The sequence below is a fragment of the Homo sapiens genome, chromosome 14 (assembly GCF_000001405.40).
Source record: "Homo sapiens chromosome 14, GRCh38.p14 Primary Assembly".
NCBI classification, from domain to species: domain Eukaryota; kingdom Metazoa; phylum Chordata; class Mammalia; order Primates; family Hominidae; genus Homo; species Homo sapiens.
The window spans coordinates 67,207,610-67,225,352 of NC_000014.9; the positions used below are offsets into that span (position 1 = coordinate 67,207,610).

Below are 17,743 nucleotides of genomic sequence, written 5' to 3' on the forward strand. Positions count from 1 at the left end.
ATTAGAAAGTTGGCTTTAGGGCCTGCTGACCAACTGCCTTGAGCCCTAAGTGATTCTGAGCGAATCAGAGAGTGGCTAGGAGAGGTGAGACATTAACAGAAATTGGGAAATTAGGAGGAGGGGGGGATTTTAGAGTATTAAGTTTTAGATACAGGTTCTAAGTCTTTTGACAAAAAAAAATTTCTTTTATATTATGAGCCCCCAGCCCCTGTAACCTATCAGATGCTCTAATTAAGACCAAACTCAGACTGGGGAATCAGTGGCATTTCTGGGAAACTTTTCTTGTGCTGACAATTCACAGAGAAGTACTGTAATTAGATGCCAACTGTCTTCTGTGAAGTGACAACACGAGCTGGGGAACATGTGTCAGGCTGCAGTGGCGCAGTCCCTGGCTCCCACACAGCCTGCCGCCAACACACCCGGGGCTCTCCCAATGGTCGTGCCATTCTAAGCCTCACTCCCTCCTTACTACTCCTCACGGGTGCTCAGTGACGATGAATGAAATGGTGCCTGTATTCGATACTGTTCCACAAACACCTATTACCTGATGCTCTTCTGTTACCTGATTTGCTGCTGCTTTTTATTTTTAAAGGAAAAATTGAAAAACATTCTGAAGCCTGGGTGTTTACAAGATACAAAAAGTAAGAGTGAGTTGAAAGAATCCTCAAAACATGTCACCATCTCAAACATAACACTGACTTTTGAAGGTAAAAGATATTTTCAAACTACCTTGACCCCAGTAGAAAGTGAGGCAAATACATCCAAGGAGATGAAGGATAAGACCTCTGAAGAAAAGATGCCTGATTTTCAGAGCACAGCTCTCAAGGCTGAAGAATCCAGGTATGTGAGGCAGGAACATGCCAAAGGAATTCTAAGACATGAAATATTAATAAAGAAATATGTGCTTTAGTCTCTTAACTCAGGCATCTGCCACTGAAGATTCTCAGAGACAGATGTAGTGTAACTGAATGATGATATAGTCAACTCTGAATGACCCACATTTGGTTCAACTTTGGCTAATTTTTATTTTCATGGCAACTTGTCACGTTACTCAGCTGGCATTCTGGGCTGTCTACCTGATGTCAAGACCAGCCTGGCCAAGATGGTGAAACCCTGTCTCTACTAAAAACTACAAAAATTAGCCAGGCGCGGTGGCGGGCACCTGTAATCCCAGCTACTCGGGAGGCTGAGGCAGGAGAATTGCTTGAACTCAGAAGGCAGAGGTTGCAGTGAGCCAAGATCACGCTACTGCATTCCAGCCTGGGTGACAGAGTAAAACTCTGTCTCAAAAAAAAAAAAAGAAAAGAAAAAAAAAAGAAGCACGGAAAAAGCAAAATTCTAGGAAAATGTTGGTCAAAGATTTATGATGTACCATAAAAAAATTTCAGATAGGAAAAGAGTAAGTTATTTTAAAACTAAAATGAGCCAGAAGAAAATGAAATGGTATCATTGCCTCATTTACAGAGGAAAGATCATTTATTGTCCGCTGATACAATAAAAGTAATTTTCAATGGCAGAGTTTACGTGATTCACTCAAAAATATTTATGAGCACTTCCTATGCACTAGGCATTGGGGATACAGCAGCAAAAATGATCAAGTCCATATCTCATGGAGTGTTTTATTCTAGTGGGGGACACAGATAATAAACCAATACAATATATTATGCCAGCTGGAATGTGCTGTGATGAAAATAAAAAGAGAGAGAGAGAATAGAGAGTGAGAGTAATTAGAAGAGGGTGGAGAGATATTTTATACAGGTGGTCAAGGCCATTTGAGCAGAGACCTGAGCAAGTGTGAACCTCTGGGGGAACAGAGTTCCAAGTTGATTGATTGCATAACAATTACAAATCTCTGCCAAATAAATCATTTTAAAAAAATAAATACACTCATATATGTATGATAACAGAGTGGAGGGAAAAGCATAATAGGCCGGGTGTGGTGGCTCATGCCTGTAGTCCCAGCACTTTGGGAGGCTGAGGCGGGCAGATCATGAGGTCAGGAGTTCGAGACTAGCCTGGCCAACATGGTGAAACCCCGTCTCTACTAAAAATACAAAAATTAGCCAGGTGTGGTGGCAGGCGCCTGTAATCCCAGCTACTCGGGAGGCTGAGGCAGGAGAATTGCCTGAACCCGGGAGACTGAGGTTGCAGTGAGCCGAGATCGTGCCATTAAACTCCAGCCTGGGTGACAGAGCAAGACTCCATCTCGGAAAAAAAAAAAAAAAAAAAGAAACGAAAAAGTATAATAGATTACCTTTATATATAAGTAGTTGGTAGGAATTTGTAAGGGATCCAATTAACAAATGATTTAAGGACATAAATAGAAAATTTACTCCAGAAGACAACTACTTGAGAAGGAATCAACCTCACTAATAATTAAAGAAATACAAGTTAAGCAATTACCAGTTAGCTTTTCATTAGGTGTCAACAACACTCTTAGTGTCACTGTAAATGGTTGTCAATTCAATTCACACCCCTAATGTTTGTATTCCTTTACTTATGGTAACATGTCAAAGAAATCATTCAAAGGGGAAAATAACTTATTTGAATGTAGCGTTTCATATGGAAAACCTGTAAGTAATCCAAATGCTCACAACTGGAAAAATGGCTAACCAGGAAATAGTATGTCGATTTCGTGAAACAACAGAACCCCATTAGAAAAAGCCATGGGCAGAATTTCAATGAAAAGAGCTATGGCTGGCATGGTGGCTCCTGCCTATAATCCCAGCACTTTGGGAGGCTGAGGCAGGAGGACTGCTTGAGCCCAGGAGTTTGAAACCCACCTGGACAACATAGGGAGACCCTGTCTCTATTTAAAAAAAAGAAGAAGAACAAAGAAAAAAGAAAAGAGCTATGTTAGTAATAAGGAATTATAAGCTGGAAAAGCAAAATTCCAAAAAATGTAAATACAATGGTATTTTATTTCTATAGTCTGGGAAGAAACCACAGTTTGGGCATAGTTGATGATAAAAGGAATAAATATTTGTTGTAGCTATTGATAGATGTTTCTATTAAACTTTCGTTATATAATTGATTACACATATAATTGTAAAAGTAAATTGAATCTAGGATGCATTCATTGGGAGACAGTTTAACACAGCCAATAGAGAATGAACTTTGCCACAGGTCATGATGGCTCAGACCTGTAATCCCAGCACTTAGGGAGGCCGAGGGATGCAGATAGCTTGAGTCCAGGAGTTCGAGACCAGCCTGGGCTACATGGTGAAACCCTGTCTCTACAAAAATTAGTTAGATGTGGTAGCATGTGTCTGTAGTCCCAGCTACTCAGGAGGCTAAGGTGGATCACCTGAACCTGGGAGGTGGAGGTTGCAGTGAGCTGAGATTGCACCACTGCACTCCAGCCTGGGTGATGGAGTGACACCCTGCCTCAAAAAACAAACAAAAACAGAGAATAAGCTTTGCAGTCAGATCTCTGGGTTCAAATCCTGGCTTCTCTATCTCATTAGCTCTATGATCTTGGGCAAGTTACTTAACTTCTTCAGGTCTGTTTCCTCATTTGTAACATGGGGATACTATCTACCATGTAGAATTGCTATAAGGATTAAATAGCTGATATTAAAACCCTCACAATACCAGGCTCATGGTAACTGTTCAAAATACATCTAGGTATAGATATAGATAAAATATAGGTGGGAGGAAGGAAGGAAAGAGAGAGGAAGATAGGTTCAAGCAAACTGAACAAAAAAAACCTAATGTAGATTTGACTCACATTGAATACAGTACAAACATGGTTCTGTACCACACAGGATGTCTGAAGTAATCTTTCCACTATACTACCCAATAAACTGAACCTAGAGGAGAACTGGGGAAAAGAGCACAAAACTGATTAAATATTTTTAATGTAGTAAAAAATAATTGAGGTGATAGGAGAATGTTAATAGGTGACAATGACCATATTCGAATGTATGAGGAAGTTCACAGAAAGCTACATTTAAAAAGTAGACTTAAAGTAAAAATTATTTTAACACAGGAAAATTTTACTATTAGGTAATATAGCAATCAATTTAAAAAATAACCTGGGCAAAGTGGCTCACACGCCTGTAATCCCATCAACTGTGGAAGCTACAGTGGGAGTACCATCCTGGGCAACTTAACAAAACCCTGCCACCAAAACAAAAGTGGGAGGGTCACTTGAGCCTAGGAGTTTGAAGTTTTGGTGAGCATGATCAAGCCATTGCACTCCAGCCCGGGTGATGGAGCAAGACACTGACTCTTAAATAAATAAATACTTATCATTTATTATATATTGATAAAAAACAGAACCAGTTTCTGTAGGTTCTGTACATTGTGAAGTCTGTCCCTGCAAAACTTCTCAAAAACGAACATTAAATCATTTGTCCTGGATAGACTTTAAGCATTCTTCTGCCAGGAGACCTTTTCATGTTTCTTATAATGTAATCTTAACCACTGTGAAGATCTGCTAAAATGAATAATAGAATGCATGCTAAAGTCAAATATAGGTGTGCTCTAGGGAATTCCTTGAAAGAGTATAATGAAATGAAAACAGTAAACACACTAGGTACATTGTAAGGTTCTGAGAAGCATAGTGATGAAAGTACATAGAGGACTTTGGACATATTAGTTGCTCAGTAAATGATCATTATTGTCACTAATAATTCATTTTTAACAGTGTAGATTAAAGAAAAAAATGTATCTTCTTTAAAATGGCTCCTCTGACAAAAAATGTATCTTAGGGCCAGGCGCAGTGTCTCACACCTGTAATCCCATGGGCAGATCGCTCAAGCCAAGGAGTTCGAGACCAGCCTGGGCAACATTGCAAAACCCTGTCTCTACAAAAAAAATACAAAAATTTTGCAGAGCATGGTGGCATGTGCCTGTAGTCCCAGTTATTAGGGAGGCTGAAGTGGAAGGATCACCTAATCCTGGGGGGTTGAGGCTGCAGTGAGCCATGATAGAGCCACTGCACTCCAGCCTGGGTGACAGAGCAAGACCCTGTTGAAAAAAAAAATATATATATATATATGTAATATATATTATATATAATATATATTACATATATATATAATATATATTTACACATACATACAAATAAATGTATACACAAAAATATCTTATTCAACTGAGGATTAACTACTCAAAGCTGGTTTTTCTAAAAAGTCTTCTTTCCTAACAAAGTATAGGCCAAGGGAAACAAAGGAAAATGGGTGATCCTTAGGAGAGCCACAAACCTTGAAATCAGAGTAGTTTGCTTTAGCTGCTTGAGCACTGCATTTTTCACAATCCCAGAGCCTCTAGATACAAGTGCCAAGACATTCAAAGTGTTGGTTCTTGGCTGTTCAAGCAAAGCATCGTTAACTATCTAAGGTTTCTATATGAGTTGTTCTCAAAATGAGGACGCTGGACCAGCAGCATCACCTGGGAACTGGTTAAAGATGTAAATGCTTAGGCCTCACCCCATCTTACTGAATCATAAGCTTGGGGATGGGGCATAGAATTCTGTGGTGTTTTTTTTTTTTTTTACTTCTCAGATAGCTGTTCTGCATGTAGAATTTTTTTTTAAATGTATTTTATTTTATTTTATTATTATTATACTTTAAGTTTTAGGGTACATGTGCACAATGTGCAGGTTAGTTACATATGTATACATGTGCCATGCTGGTGTGCTGCACCCATTAACTCGTCATTTAGCATTAGGTATATCTCCTAAGGCTATCCCTCCCCCCTCCCCCCACCCCACAACAGTCCCTGGAGTGTGATGTTCCCCTTCCTGTGTCCATGTGTTCTCATTGTTCAATTCCCACCTATGAGTGAGAATATGCGGTGTTTGGTTTTTTGTTCTTGCGATAGTTTACTGAGAATGATGATTTCCAATTTCATCCATGTCCCTACAAAGGACATGAACTCATCATTTTTTATGGCTGCATAGTATTCCATGGTGTATATGTGCCACATTTTCTTAATCCAGTTTATCATTGTTGGACATTTGGCTTGGTTCCAAGTCTTTGCTATTGTGAATAGTGCCACAATAAACTTACGTGTGCATGTGTCTTTATAGCAGCATGATTTATAGTCCTTTGGGTATATACCCAGTAATGGGATGGCTGGGTCAAATGGTATTTCTAGTTCTAGATCCCTGAGGAATCGCCACACTGACTTCCACAAGGGTTGAACTAGTTTATAGTCCCACCAATAGTGTAAAAGTGTTCCTATTTCTCCACATCCTCTCCAGCACCTGTTGTTTCCTGACTTTTTAATGATTGCCATTCTAACTGGTGTGAGATGGTATCTGATTGTGGTTTTGATTTGCATTTCTCTGATGGCCAGTGATGGTGAGCATTTTTTCATGTGTTTTTTGGCTGCATAAATGGCTTCTTTTGAGAAGTATCTGTTCATGTCCTTCGCCCACTTTTTGATGGGGTTGTTTGTTTTTTTCTTGTAAATTTGTTTGAGTTCATTGTAGATTCTGGATATTAGCCCTTTGTCAGATGAGTAGGTTGCGAAAATGTCCTCCCATTTTATAGGTTGGCTGTTCACTCTGATGTTAGTTTCTTTTGCTGTGCAGAAGCTCTTTAGTTTAATTAGATCCCATTTGTCAATTTTGGCTTTTGTTGCCATTGCTTTTGGTGTTTTAGACGTGAAGTCCTTGCCCATGCCTATGTCCTGAATGGTATTGCCTAGGTTTTCTTTTAGGGTTTTTATGGTTCTAGGTCTAACGTTTAAGTCTTTAATCCATCTTGAATTAATTTTTGTATAAGGTGTAAGGAAGGGATCCAGTTTCAGCTTTCTACATATGGCTAGCCAGTTTTCCCAGCACCGTTTATTAAATAGGGAATCCTTTCCCCATTGCTTGTTTTTCTCAGGTTTGTCAAAGATTAGATAGTTGTAGACGTGCGGCGTTATTTCTGAGGGCTCTGTTCTGTTCCATTGATCTATATCTCTGTTTTGGTACCAGTACCATGCTATTTTGGTTACTGTAGCCTTGTAGTATAGTTTGAAGTCAGGTAGCGTGGTGCCTCCAGCTTTGTTCTTTTGGCTTAGGATTGACTTGGCGATGCGGGCTCTTTTTTGGTTCCATATGAACTTTAAAGTAGTTTTTTCCAATTCTGTGAAGAAAGTCATTGGTAGCTTGATGGGGATGGCATTGAATCTATAAATTACCTTGGGCAGTGTGGCCATTTTCACGATATTGATTCTTCCTATCCATGAGCATGGAATGTTCTTCCATTTATTTGTATCCTCTTTGATTTCATTGAGCAGTGGTTTGTAGTTCTCCTTGAAGAGGTCCTTCACATCCCTTGTAAGTTGGATTCCTAGGTATTTTATTCCCTTTGAAGCAATTGTGAATGGGAGTTCACTCATGATTTGGCTCTCTGTTTGTCTGTTATTGGTGTATAAGAATGCTTGTGATTTTTGCACATTGATTTTGTATCCTGAGACTTTGCTGAAGTTGCTTGTCAGCTTAAGGAGATTCTGGGCTGAGACAATGGGGTTCCAAGTGATTCTAATGCACACTCAGATTTGAGAACCATTTCCTTAGGAGAAGCCAGTCATATCTATCAAGCAAGGATTCCCCTCTCATAATGGCTTCTCCTGAAGCCCTACAGTCAAAATAAGTATTCTGCTTTTATAGCTGTGGAAAGAACTATAGGCTCACCAGGAATCTTCTAGGGAGCTTTCTTCCAGGACTAGGAGCTCAAAAAGATAAAAAATGGTTCAATGTGGGAATTGCTGTTATCACCTACAGACATTTTCCTACTTTTACCGAGGGCACAGAAGTCACTGAAATAAATTTCTCCCCAGAACACTGATCTATTGTTTTTTTTTTTTATGATAACCACTGAGCTATTTCAGTGTAAGTAAACAATGACAGAAGGGCAACTTGTAAGTCTGATGTGTTAGAAGAGAAAGTACAAAGATTAAAAAACAACAACAACAACAACAGGAGAGAGTGAGAGTAAAGTAGGAAGAGAAAAACAGAAACCAATAGTCAGAAATAGGAAAGGGATACGGGAATATAAGATGCAGAAGGATAGAGGCAGGTGCTGCTCAGTGGAAAACATACCTTTCACTACAATAAGTGAGTATGACTTTATTAGAAAAGCGTAAGGTTTATTTAAAAAAACAAGATTAAATGAATCCATCCAACTTAGCAATTTGTCCTAAATAATCATTGATCAGGTCTGGTCACTCTGATGTCTTCCTTATGTTTTATTTCATTCTTATGTCTCAAATCCAGTGCCCCCAACCCTTGTCTAACACTTCAAAATCATACCACAAATCAAAATCTCACAAAGTTAACTGAATCATTTCAGCTACTTCTTTCCTTGCCCAAAACAAATGCCCTAAACCATTAGATTCGCTTTTAATGCCTTTTAAAAAATTGATGAAAAATAATTAATAAACTTTATTTTTTGCGTGCAGTTTTAGATTTACAAAATAACTGAGCAAATAGTGCATAGAGTTCCACACACGCCTCCCACCGTGTCCTCCTACCAATCCCCCATGGTATCTTCTATTAACATCTAACATGTGGTACATTTGTTACAGTCAATGAACACATATTAATACATTGTTATTAACTATAGTCCATAGTTTACATTACATTAAGATTTACTCCTTGTGTTGTACAGTTCTGTGGATTTTGTTTTCTTGAGGATTTTGTCATCTATATTCATCTGGGATACTAACCTGTAGTCTTCTTTTTTTGTCATGTCCTTGTCTGGTTTTGGTATCAGGGCAATGCTGGCCTCATAGAATGAGTTAATCACGTTTTGTTAATATTTTGGGGTTTTTTTTCAGTCTCCATTTCATTTATTTCTGCTCTGACTTTTATTATTTCTTCTACTAATTTTGAGTTTGGATTATTCATGCTTTTCTAGTTCCTCAAGGTGCATCATTAGGTTATTTATTTGACATCTTTCTAGTTTTTTGATGTAGGTATTTATCACTATAAACTTGACTCTTAATACTGCTTTTGCTGTGCCCCCATAAGTTTTCGTATATTGTATTTCTATTTCCATTTGTATCAGTAAATTTTTAAATAGCATCCTTCATTTCTTCCTTCACCCATTGGTCATTTAGGAGCATGTTGTTTAATTTTTATGTATTGTATACTTTTGAATGTTCCTGTTGTTATTGATTTCTAGTTTTATTCCATTGTGGTCAGATAAAATACTTGATAAGATTTTGATTTTTAAAAATTTTGGATAAACTTTTTGACATTTGTTTTGTGTCCTAACATATAGTCAATCCTGGAGAATATTCCACATGCTGATGAAAAGAATGTGTACTGTGCAGCTGTTGGATGAAATGTTCTATAAATGTCTGTTAAGTCATTTGGTCTGTGATGCAGTTTAAATTCCATGTTTCTTTGATGATTTTCTGTCTAGATGATTTGTCCAAGGCTAAGAGTGGGTGTTGAAGTCCCCAGCTATTATTGTATTGGGATCTCTATTTGCCTTTAGATCTAATATTTGCTTTATAAATCTGGGTGCTCCAGTGTACATGTATATTTACAATTGTTATATCTTCACGTTAAATTGATCCGTTTATAACTATAGAATGACTTTCTTCATCTTTTTTTTTTACAGTTTCTGACATAAATTCTGTTTTATCTGATATAAATATGGCTACTCTTGCTTGACTTTGGTTTCCATTTGCATCGAATATCTTGTTTCATTTCTTCACTTTCAGTCTATATGCATCTTTACAGGTGAAGTAAGTTTCATGTAGGCAGCATATAGTTGGGTCATTTTTTAAAAAATCCATTCAGCCAGTCTATATCTTTTAAGCAGGGAATTTTAATCTATTTACATTTAAGGTTATTAGTGATAGGTAAAGACTTACTCATGTCATTTTGTTACATGTTTTCTGGTTGTTTTGTATATCATTTGCTCCTTACTTCTCTTATTGTTTATTTTTGCAGTTGAGTGATTTTCTGTAGTGATAAGGTTTTATTGCTTTCTCTTTCTCCTTTGTGTATCAGCTCTACCAGTGAGTTTTATAGTTTTGCATGTTTGCATGATGGTGGCTATCATCTTTTCATTTCTATATATAAGTCCCTTGAGCATTTTTTGTAAGGCCAATCTAGTGATGATGAATTTCCTTAGTTTTGGTTTATCTGTAAAAGATTTTAATCTTAAGAGTTTAATCTTAAGAGTTTTCTTAAGATTATTATTTTAAATTCTTTTTCTGACATTTTCTATGTTTTCTTATTATTGATGTTTGTTACTGGAGAATTATTGTTTTTCTTTGGAAGTGTCATGTATCCTGTGGTCCTATGTTGAGTTCTGTGCATCTAATGGAAAAAATGCCTCCTCCAATTTTATGGAGTAGTGTCACAGGGAAAGACTTATTTATATGAATGGGTCTTGGGATGTCAGTTCAGTGGGTTGCATTGGCTTTGGTTCTAAGTGGATGCAACAGTGTAGTCTCCATGTAGTTTCTTTAGTGTTTGCAAGTTTCTCAGTGGCCTAGGCTTAGAGAGTTTGTGGCATCAGTGGTGCAGCTTTGCCAGGGGTAGGCTCACCAGGCTGTTTCTCAGGTCAAGGACAGACAGGCACATACACACAGTGGGTTGGCCAACCTGAGGTCTGGCTTGCTGGGTTTGGGGCCATGGGGCTGTTACTGTGGCCAGAAGCATGATCACACAGTTGTTGTCTATGAGTAGCAGCCTACAGAGCTGTTTCTCAGGCCTGGTGTTTCTCAGAGCTATGCACCAGGGATGTGGGTGCACAGCTGCTTGGGTGTGGGTGATCTGGGGGCATGTTTACTGGGTGGGTGGCCCACAGAGCCGTTTCTCAAATCTGGAACACAAGTGCAAGTCTGCTTGGCTGACTCAGGGACGTGCTCACTGGGGACAGCCTGTGGGCTGTTTCTGAGGCCTGATATGTGGATACAGGGCTGCTTGGCAGCCTGGGGCATGTCAACCTGGGTGGCTTATGGGACTGTTTCTCTGGTCCAGGATATGGGTTCTTGCCTGTTTGGCTGGCCTGGGGGCATGTCCGTCAGGAGCAACCTGCAGGACTATGTCTCAGACCCTGATTTTGGGTGCAGGGTCATTGGGCAGGCCAGAAACATATCTGTAGGGGATGGAGGCACTGCGGAACAGTTTCTTTGTGCCCTAAGCACAGCACATAGCCATTCTGCTTGCCCAAGGGTATATCAAGCTGTTTAGAGGTTCAGGGGTCTCTCTCATTTGAGGGTGTGTATGCAGCAGTTTGGCTGACTCAAGGGTGGGTTTTCCATGGATAAGACTGTCGTACTCTCCCTCTGGCTAGAAGTGCAGCAGTGAGGGTTGGTTTCCCTGCTATGTAAAGCCAAAGCCACAGCAGATCCTGGCCCAGGTTCTGCACAGGTGGTGTTGTCGTGTTCAGCCACCAGTGTGGGCTTGGTGGAATGGAGATGGAGCCCTAGGGCTGGAGAGATGCGGTGGCCAGTGGCCCCCCAGAGCAGGTTACTCTCCAGAGGTGGCTCTGGTCTCAAGCAGCAGTTTGGCTCACAGGTGGTGATTGGGGAGTAGGAAGTGCATACCTTGTGCTCTTAACCTGGGGCAATGCAGCTGTGTGAATTCCTAGCAACTCCCAAAACTAGGCTCAGGGCTTGTGATGACTGTGGGATTCTCCTGTTGTAAGGACTGTAGGTGTTTTTGGTAGCAATGGGGGCTGGTGGGGCTCTTCTGCTTACGTTTTCCCTGCAATGGGAGGTCTCTCCTGACTCTGGGCAGATCTAGTCCACATGGGTGATATAGGTGCCTCCACACTACCCTCCTGGACTTTCCATCACCACAGACATGTCTCTGCTCCCCAGCTGCCCTCCAGTGACCTTCCTTTGACACTCCAGTCACATCTTAGCAGTTTATTCATTGCTTTGGTCCTTTCTTGTGGGAGAAGGATGAATGACAGGTGTCTCTAGTCAGCCATCTTGCTGACATCACTCCCTGAGAATTTTTCTACACTACCCCTTAATAGCTTTTTAAAACATTAAATATTATAAGAATAACTTTGTTAGGATGAAAAAGGCTCAGCAGGTACTGTTTCATTAGTCTCACTATTATGATCATTATTAGAAATGATAAAAAATGAATCCCTAAATAAATAGCAAAAATCATAGAATTTTAAAGCTATAAAAGATCTTGAGAATTAACAAATCTCAAATTCTTCAAGGTCTCACCCCTCCCTTCTCAGCTCCCTACGCCATTTATCAGCTGACTCTACTGGAGAGAAATAAATAGATGAAGAAAAACAAAACAAAACAAATTTTGGTTATAAGTAATCCTCTTAAGCCCAATTTAATAAAGCATGGATTTCTTTTTATTGCCTATTTGCATCAGGAACATAATTACTAGCTAGAGTCTAATTTGAGAATGTTAATTATGGATGAAAGATGTAATATTCTAAGAACAGAATGGAATTCACTACTGCTGTATTGCAGAGACATTAGTGGGATTTAGTAATGCTAGTGAGGTTGAAAAATAAGTTATATATATTATTTTTCTTTTCCAAAACCATGGATTTCAGTGACACTTTATAACTGTGTACTTTGGAACACTGATAAAAAATTAGGCTGCGTGCAACGGCTCATGCCTGTAATCCCAAAACTTTGAGAGGCCCAGGCGGGAGGATGGCTTGGGCTCAGGAGCTCAAGACCACCCTGGGCAATATGTCAAGACCCTGTCCCTACAAAAAAGAAAAAAGAAAAAAGTTATCTGGGCGTGGTAGTGCACACCTGAGGTCCCAGTTACTCAGGAGGCTGAGGCAAGGGGATTGCTTGAGCTGGGAGGTCAAGGCTGCAAAGAGCCATGATAGAGCCACTGCACTCTAGCCTGGGTAACAGAGAGAGACCTTTTCTCAGGAAAAAAAAAAAAAGGTAAATGATGACCTTGTTGAATATTGTGCCCTCAGATTTACTAGTCTTTAAAATTTAAATTGAGCATCTTAAATCTAGATGAGTGAAAAATGTTGGAAACTTAAACTTATCTATACTGTCACTTTAGTTCCTTTAGAAATGAAGAATTTACTTTATAAAACATTTATATTTTTTTCTCATATCTTGACAGTAGTCCTACCATGGCTCTTTCCTTTGTTTCAAAGAGGATAGTGGCAGGCTTTATTTTAATTTGCATCTATTTTTCAAGGTACATTTACCTGATGCTTCTCAGTCTCGCTTAACCTTCATTTAAGTCATCAGATCTATTTGATAAAGACTATATGAATATTTGCAAACTGTATAGAAAATTACGATTTTAACATTTACTTTCTGAAAGATCCATTGTAGAACTTGAACTGGGTGTATTTGCCAGTCCCCTTAAAATGGACCACAATTATGTCTTTGCATGTTTATTTTGTAGGATAATAGCTAAGATAATTATTCTTCCTAAACTATTTGTTTTATTCAATACTTCCAAAATACTTATTGAAAATGTGTCAAGAAATAAGAATTTGGTGAAAATTATGTGACTTAAGTTTATGTTTTAGTATGCCAATGAGGTTAAGGAAATAAGTATTTTGATTATTATCAGTTTTAAAAATCAGGAGCACAGAAAATAAGCTTCTTTATCCAAAGACATTTCTGAAAGTGAAATCTAAAAAACTGCTAGCCTCTTCTTTTATCCAACAACCATAAGAAATGTTATTAAATGTAAATAAGTTACATTATTTGCTACAAGATTCCCAAGCATGGCCACCCCTGGTAAAGCCAAAGACTTGGTGGTAAAGAAGCTACCAGAAGTTGGTGATTTCTCCTAACCATCCATTTCAGAATTTATCCCCAGGTCTCTTTGAAACCCTATATTCCCAACATAGTTGACCTTATTTATTTACACGGCTCAGCAGCAGCAGTTAACTTCTCTCAGCCTGATAAGGGAAGGACAAGGAGGCGGCAGTGTTGGGGATGCCAGCAGCCCTATGGAGTGACTGGCAATAGATATAATAAGAATAGATTACATATTATTACGTACAATAAACTTTTACGGCTTTTACAGATTGAATAGTCCACATGTTGCAGAAATTTAGGTAATTTTATTCTCATATGTTCTATAATCAGCAATGGCCTAGGTTTGCTAAACGTGTTTCATTACTACCCACAGAGCATTTAAAGAATGACCGGTTATTTTATATCTAGTAGATCTTTTCTAAATATTTGTGGTTATGCTGGCAAATTTTTGAGATGTGCTATTTATTTTTACAGGAGCTTGAGAACTGAATCAAACACTTCAGGTATGGAACAAATTCCACTACATGTTTTATTGTGATCCCTGGTATTCAGTAGTCATCTCTGGTTCCTAGAAGAGTAGTGTGGCTAAGAGCAAAGGAATTCAGCTAGACTTTTTGATGCATTTCCTTTCTTCACTATGCTCCATTCTGAGAATCCTATACTGAAGAAACTCTTTCTCAAAGCCGATCCTCAGGCTATCTTTCAAGTGGAAAACATTATGGTACTTTACTACTTCAGTTTTCTTTTTCTGCACTGGTTTAGTTTCCCAGTTCCCTGTATCTAAATCATCAAGCATAAACCACGCCAAGCCTAGTTCTGCAGGCAGAATGCAAACTACAGCAATCATAGGACCTGCCATCCTTGCTGATATATAACGGGAATGGTCCACAACTAAATTTTTGGTAAATGTAAAATTATCCAGCTCCTCTTTGTTCCTCCTATGTCTTTAGCCTCTACCAGGTGATACTATTTAATGTTTTTGTTTGTTTGTTTGTTGTTGTTTTTTGTGAGGCGTAGTCTCTGTTGCCCAGGCTGATGTGCAGTGGTGTGATCTTGCTCACTGCAACCTCTCTGCCTTTTGAGTTCAAGTGATTCTGCTGCCTCAGCCTCCTGAGTAGCTGGGATTACAGGCGTTTGCCACCACGCCTAACTAAATTTTGTATTTTTCACCATGTTGGCCAGGATGGTCTCGAACTCCTGATGTCCAGTGATCTGCCCACCTGGGCCTCCCAAAGTGCTGGGATTATAGGAGTGAGCCACCACCCTGGACCTATTTAATGTTTGGGTTTTATTTGGCAGTGGGGAGTGATGATTTTTCTTTATATATTGCCATGTTCTAAGAATCTTTAGCCTGTAACGAACTTTTAATGTGGAGGTTGTCTTATAGGCACCTCTTATAGGTTGTCTTATAGGCAAATCTCTCTCTTTGCTGAGTGCTGAACCAGCTCTAAGTTACTTTCAAACCTGGGAGACAGACCAAGCCTCAGCTTCAGTCATGCACATAAAAGAACACTATGGAAGGAACATTTAACTTGGCATAAGTGAAGAGAAAAAAAAAATACTGCTTCAAAAAGCAAGAATACTTGAAGGCAGTTTTAGTCACACGTACAAGAGTCAGTCCCACAAAAAACAGCAAATCATTATAGAATAGGTTTTTACACAAATGGGATTTGTCTTTGGGCCTTCCCATTGGGCTTTTTTTTTTTTTTTTTTGAGATGGGGTCTCCCTCTTTCGCCCAAGCCAGAGTGCAGTGGCACAATCTTGGCTCACTGCAACCTCCACCTCCTGGGTTCAAGTGATTCCCCTGCTCCAGCCTCCCAAGTAGCTGGGATTACAAGCACCCGCCACCATGCCTGGCTAATTTTTGTATTTTTTGTAGAGATGGGGTTTCACCATGTTGGCCAGGCTGGTCTCGAACTCCTGACCTCAAGTGATCCCCCTGCCTTGGCCTCCCAAAGTGCTGGGATTACAGGCGTGAGCCACTGCGCCTGGCCCCCATTGGGCTTTAGTGTCTAAAAATATGAGATGAACTTCACTGTAATGTGGTTAGGCCTATATTCCAATCTATACTACTGAACCTGAGAACATTATAGGGAAATGCTATCATAGCTTACAAGAAAAGAGGAGGGCATGATTCGCTGTCTCAAAACCCTTTTGGTAGTTAAGATTCTATGAGCTGCCATGTTTGTAGTCCTGGGACTCATCTTCGACAATCTAGCAGGCAGCTTGAAATGGGGCTTTGGAAATCAGGAGCTAAGCAAAGATACAGCAAATGAGCAGAAAAATTCCACTCTGGGCTTGTTAAATCACAAGGGTGGCACAACTTACAAAATGGGCATGTCGTTTTCCACAAAGTATTAATTATTTTCCCTGTTTGTTTTCTCTTATGTATTTCTTATTTCTTTCCACCTTTTTCTCCCATGTTTTCCCACTTTTTTCTTACTTAGGCTTGTATAGTTTTTCAGTTTTTCCCCTGATTAGCATTTCTTTCCCCATTTTCACTCTCCTCTAAATCACCTGTTCCCCTTCCATACACTTTTACTCTCACTTAACACCCTGTACCCCAAGAAAAGCAAAGACTGGCTGAATCTTAATACCTCATTTTATTAAATGTAATTGGAGTACAAATTAAAAATGAGTCCGTAATTCTAATTTATATTATAGGCGGAAATCAGAATAATAACTGCTCCCCATAGTAGTAAAACAAATTCCTGGCATTATTAAGCTCATCTGATTCACATTCACCCAGCAATGCTAGTTAGGGACCATGATCTCAAATTCATCTCTCAAACCTCTCAGCAGTTTGCGAAAGTTAAATTTTTTTTCTCCTTTTCTGCATAAGGTTTTGGGATAAAGTGGCACTTCAAATGCACTGTTTTTATGACAACTTTATGCATGAAATAGGGTCCAGGTTAAATTTGTCTCTCTGGATCTGAGTTCATTTCTCTCTTTTCTTTTTTTTTTTTTTTTTGAGACAGAGTCTTACTCTGTCGCCCAGGCTGGAGCGCAGTGGCACGATCTCAGCTCACTGCAACCTCCGCCTCCCAGGTTCAAGCGATTCTCTTGCCTCAGTCTCCCGAGTAGCTGGGACTACAGATGCGTGCCACTATGCCTAGCTAATTGTTTTTGTATTTTTAGTAGAGATGGGGTTTCATTGTGTTAGCCAGGATGGTCTCAATCTCCTGACCTCATGATCCGCCCACCTCAGCCTCCCAAAGTGCCAGGATTACAGACATGAGCCACTGTGCCCGGCCCCATTTCTCTACTTTCTTAGCTTTAAGTTTTTACCTTTCTAGGCTTTATTCTCCTTAACTTTTAAATTTTTTTTTTTACAGTGAGCCCAAATTATGGGCTTATCTCTGATTCTTTGATATTTTTTCCAAGATGAAAAGAGACAAAGGATAGAGATTCAAGAAAAGAAGAGAAAGAAAAATCACATAAAATATTGGGAGTTTCCTTCCTACCCTTACCCATCTTTCTTTTCCATGTTCCTCTTAAATATTACAAACCAAATTCCTTGGAATCCTAAGCAGCCAGGTTCATTCTTTGTTTATAAAACCCAGGCTTAATAAAAAAGGAGGGAGCCCTCTAAAAGGGAACCTGCTTGTGAAATTCAACAATAAGCTCCATTGCAAAGAATAAATACATTTTTGATGAGGTGGTTAGAACATAATCTGAATTTAATATTCAAAATAAGCTCTTTCTCCTTCTGTGCCTTTTTTTTCCTCCTGCTTTTGGCTTTTTTTCTTTCTCACTTCCTCTCTATTGATCTCTCCTTTACTTTCCTTATTCTTTTTCTTTTTTCCCTCTAGTTCTCTCCCCTCATATCAAATCTCCTTCTAATTTCCTCAAACTTGTGCCTCATCTGTCTGCCCCTTTCTCAAGGGAATGAATGTGAGGAAAGAAAAGTAAAACAGAAAAAGACAAAGTTGATGGAAAAACATGTAAGACAAACTAAAGGTAACTTTTTAATTATAAGTCTCTATAGGAATACATGATAGCTATGATACTGTCACACAAAAAAGTTGTTAATAAGTGGGATCTTTT

The 17,743-nt window shown here is 39.1% G+C and overlaps 2 protein-coding genes across 8 annotated transcripts in view; both read left to right on the forward strand.

Annotated features, from left to right (window-relative positions):
* The window catches only part of GPHN (gephyrin), a 1,227,209-nt gene that overhangs the window by 699,463 nt on the left and 510,003 nt on the right, over positions 1–17,743 (forward strand). The gene's annotated exons all lie outside the window — the stretch shown is intronic.
* The window catches only part of GARIN2 (golgi associated RAB2 interactor family member 2), a 39,119-nt gene that overhangs the window by 18,170 nt on the left and 3,206 nt on the right, over positions 1–17,743 (forward strand). For 4 of the 7 annotated variants that reach the window (NM_173526.4, XM_011536500.2, XM_011536503.3 and 1 more), the window contains 3 exons: positions 593–840; positions 14,170–14,198; positions 17,509–17,656. In NM_173526.4, the coding sequence (NP_775797.2) occupies positions 593–840; positions 14,170–14,198; positions 17,509–17,588 (357 nt within the window). In that variant the 3' untranslated portion in view covers positions 17,589–17,656. Of the gene's footprint in view, positions 1–592; positions 841–14,169; positions 14,199–16,143; positions 17,657–17,743 lie in introns of those variants that run through there. The other 3 variants (XM_047431033.1, XM_047431034.1, NM_001395907.1) reach the window with 2 other exon arrangements.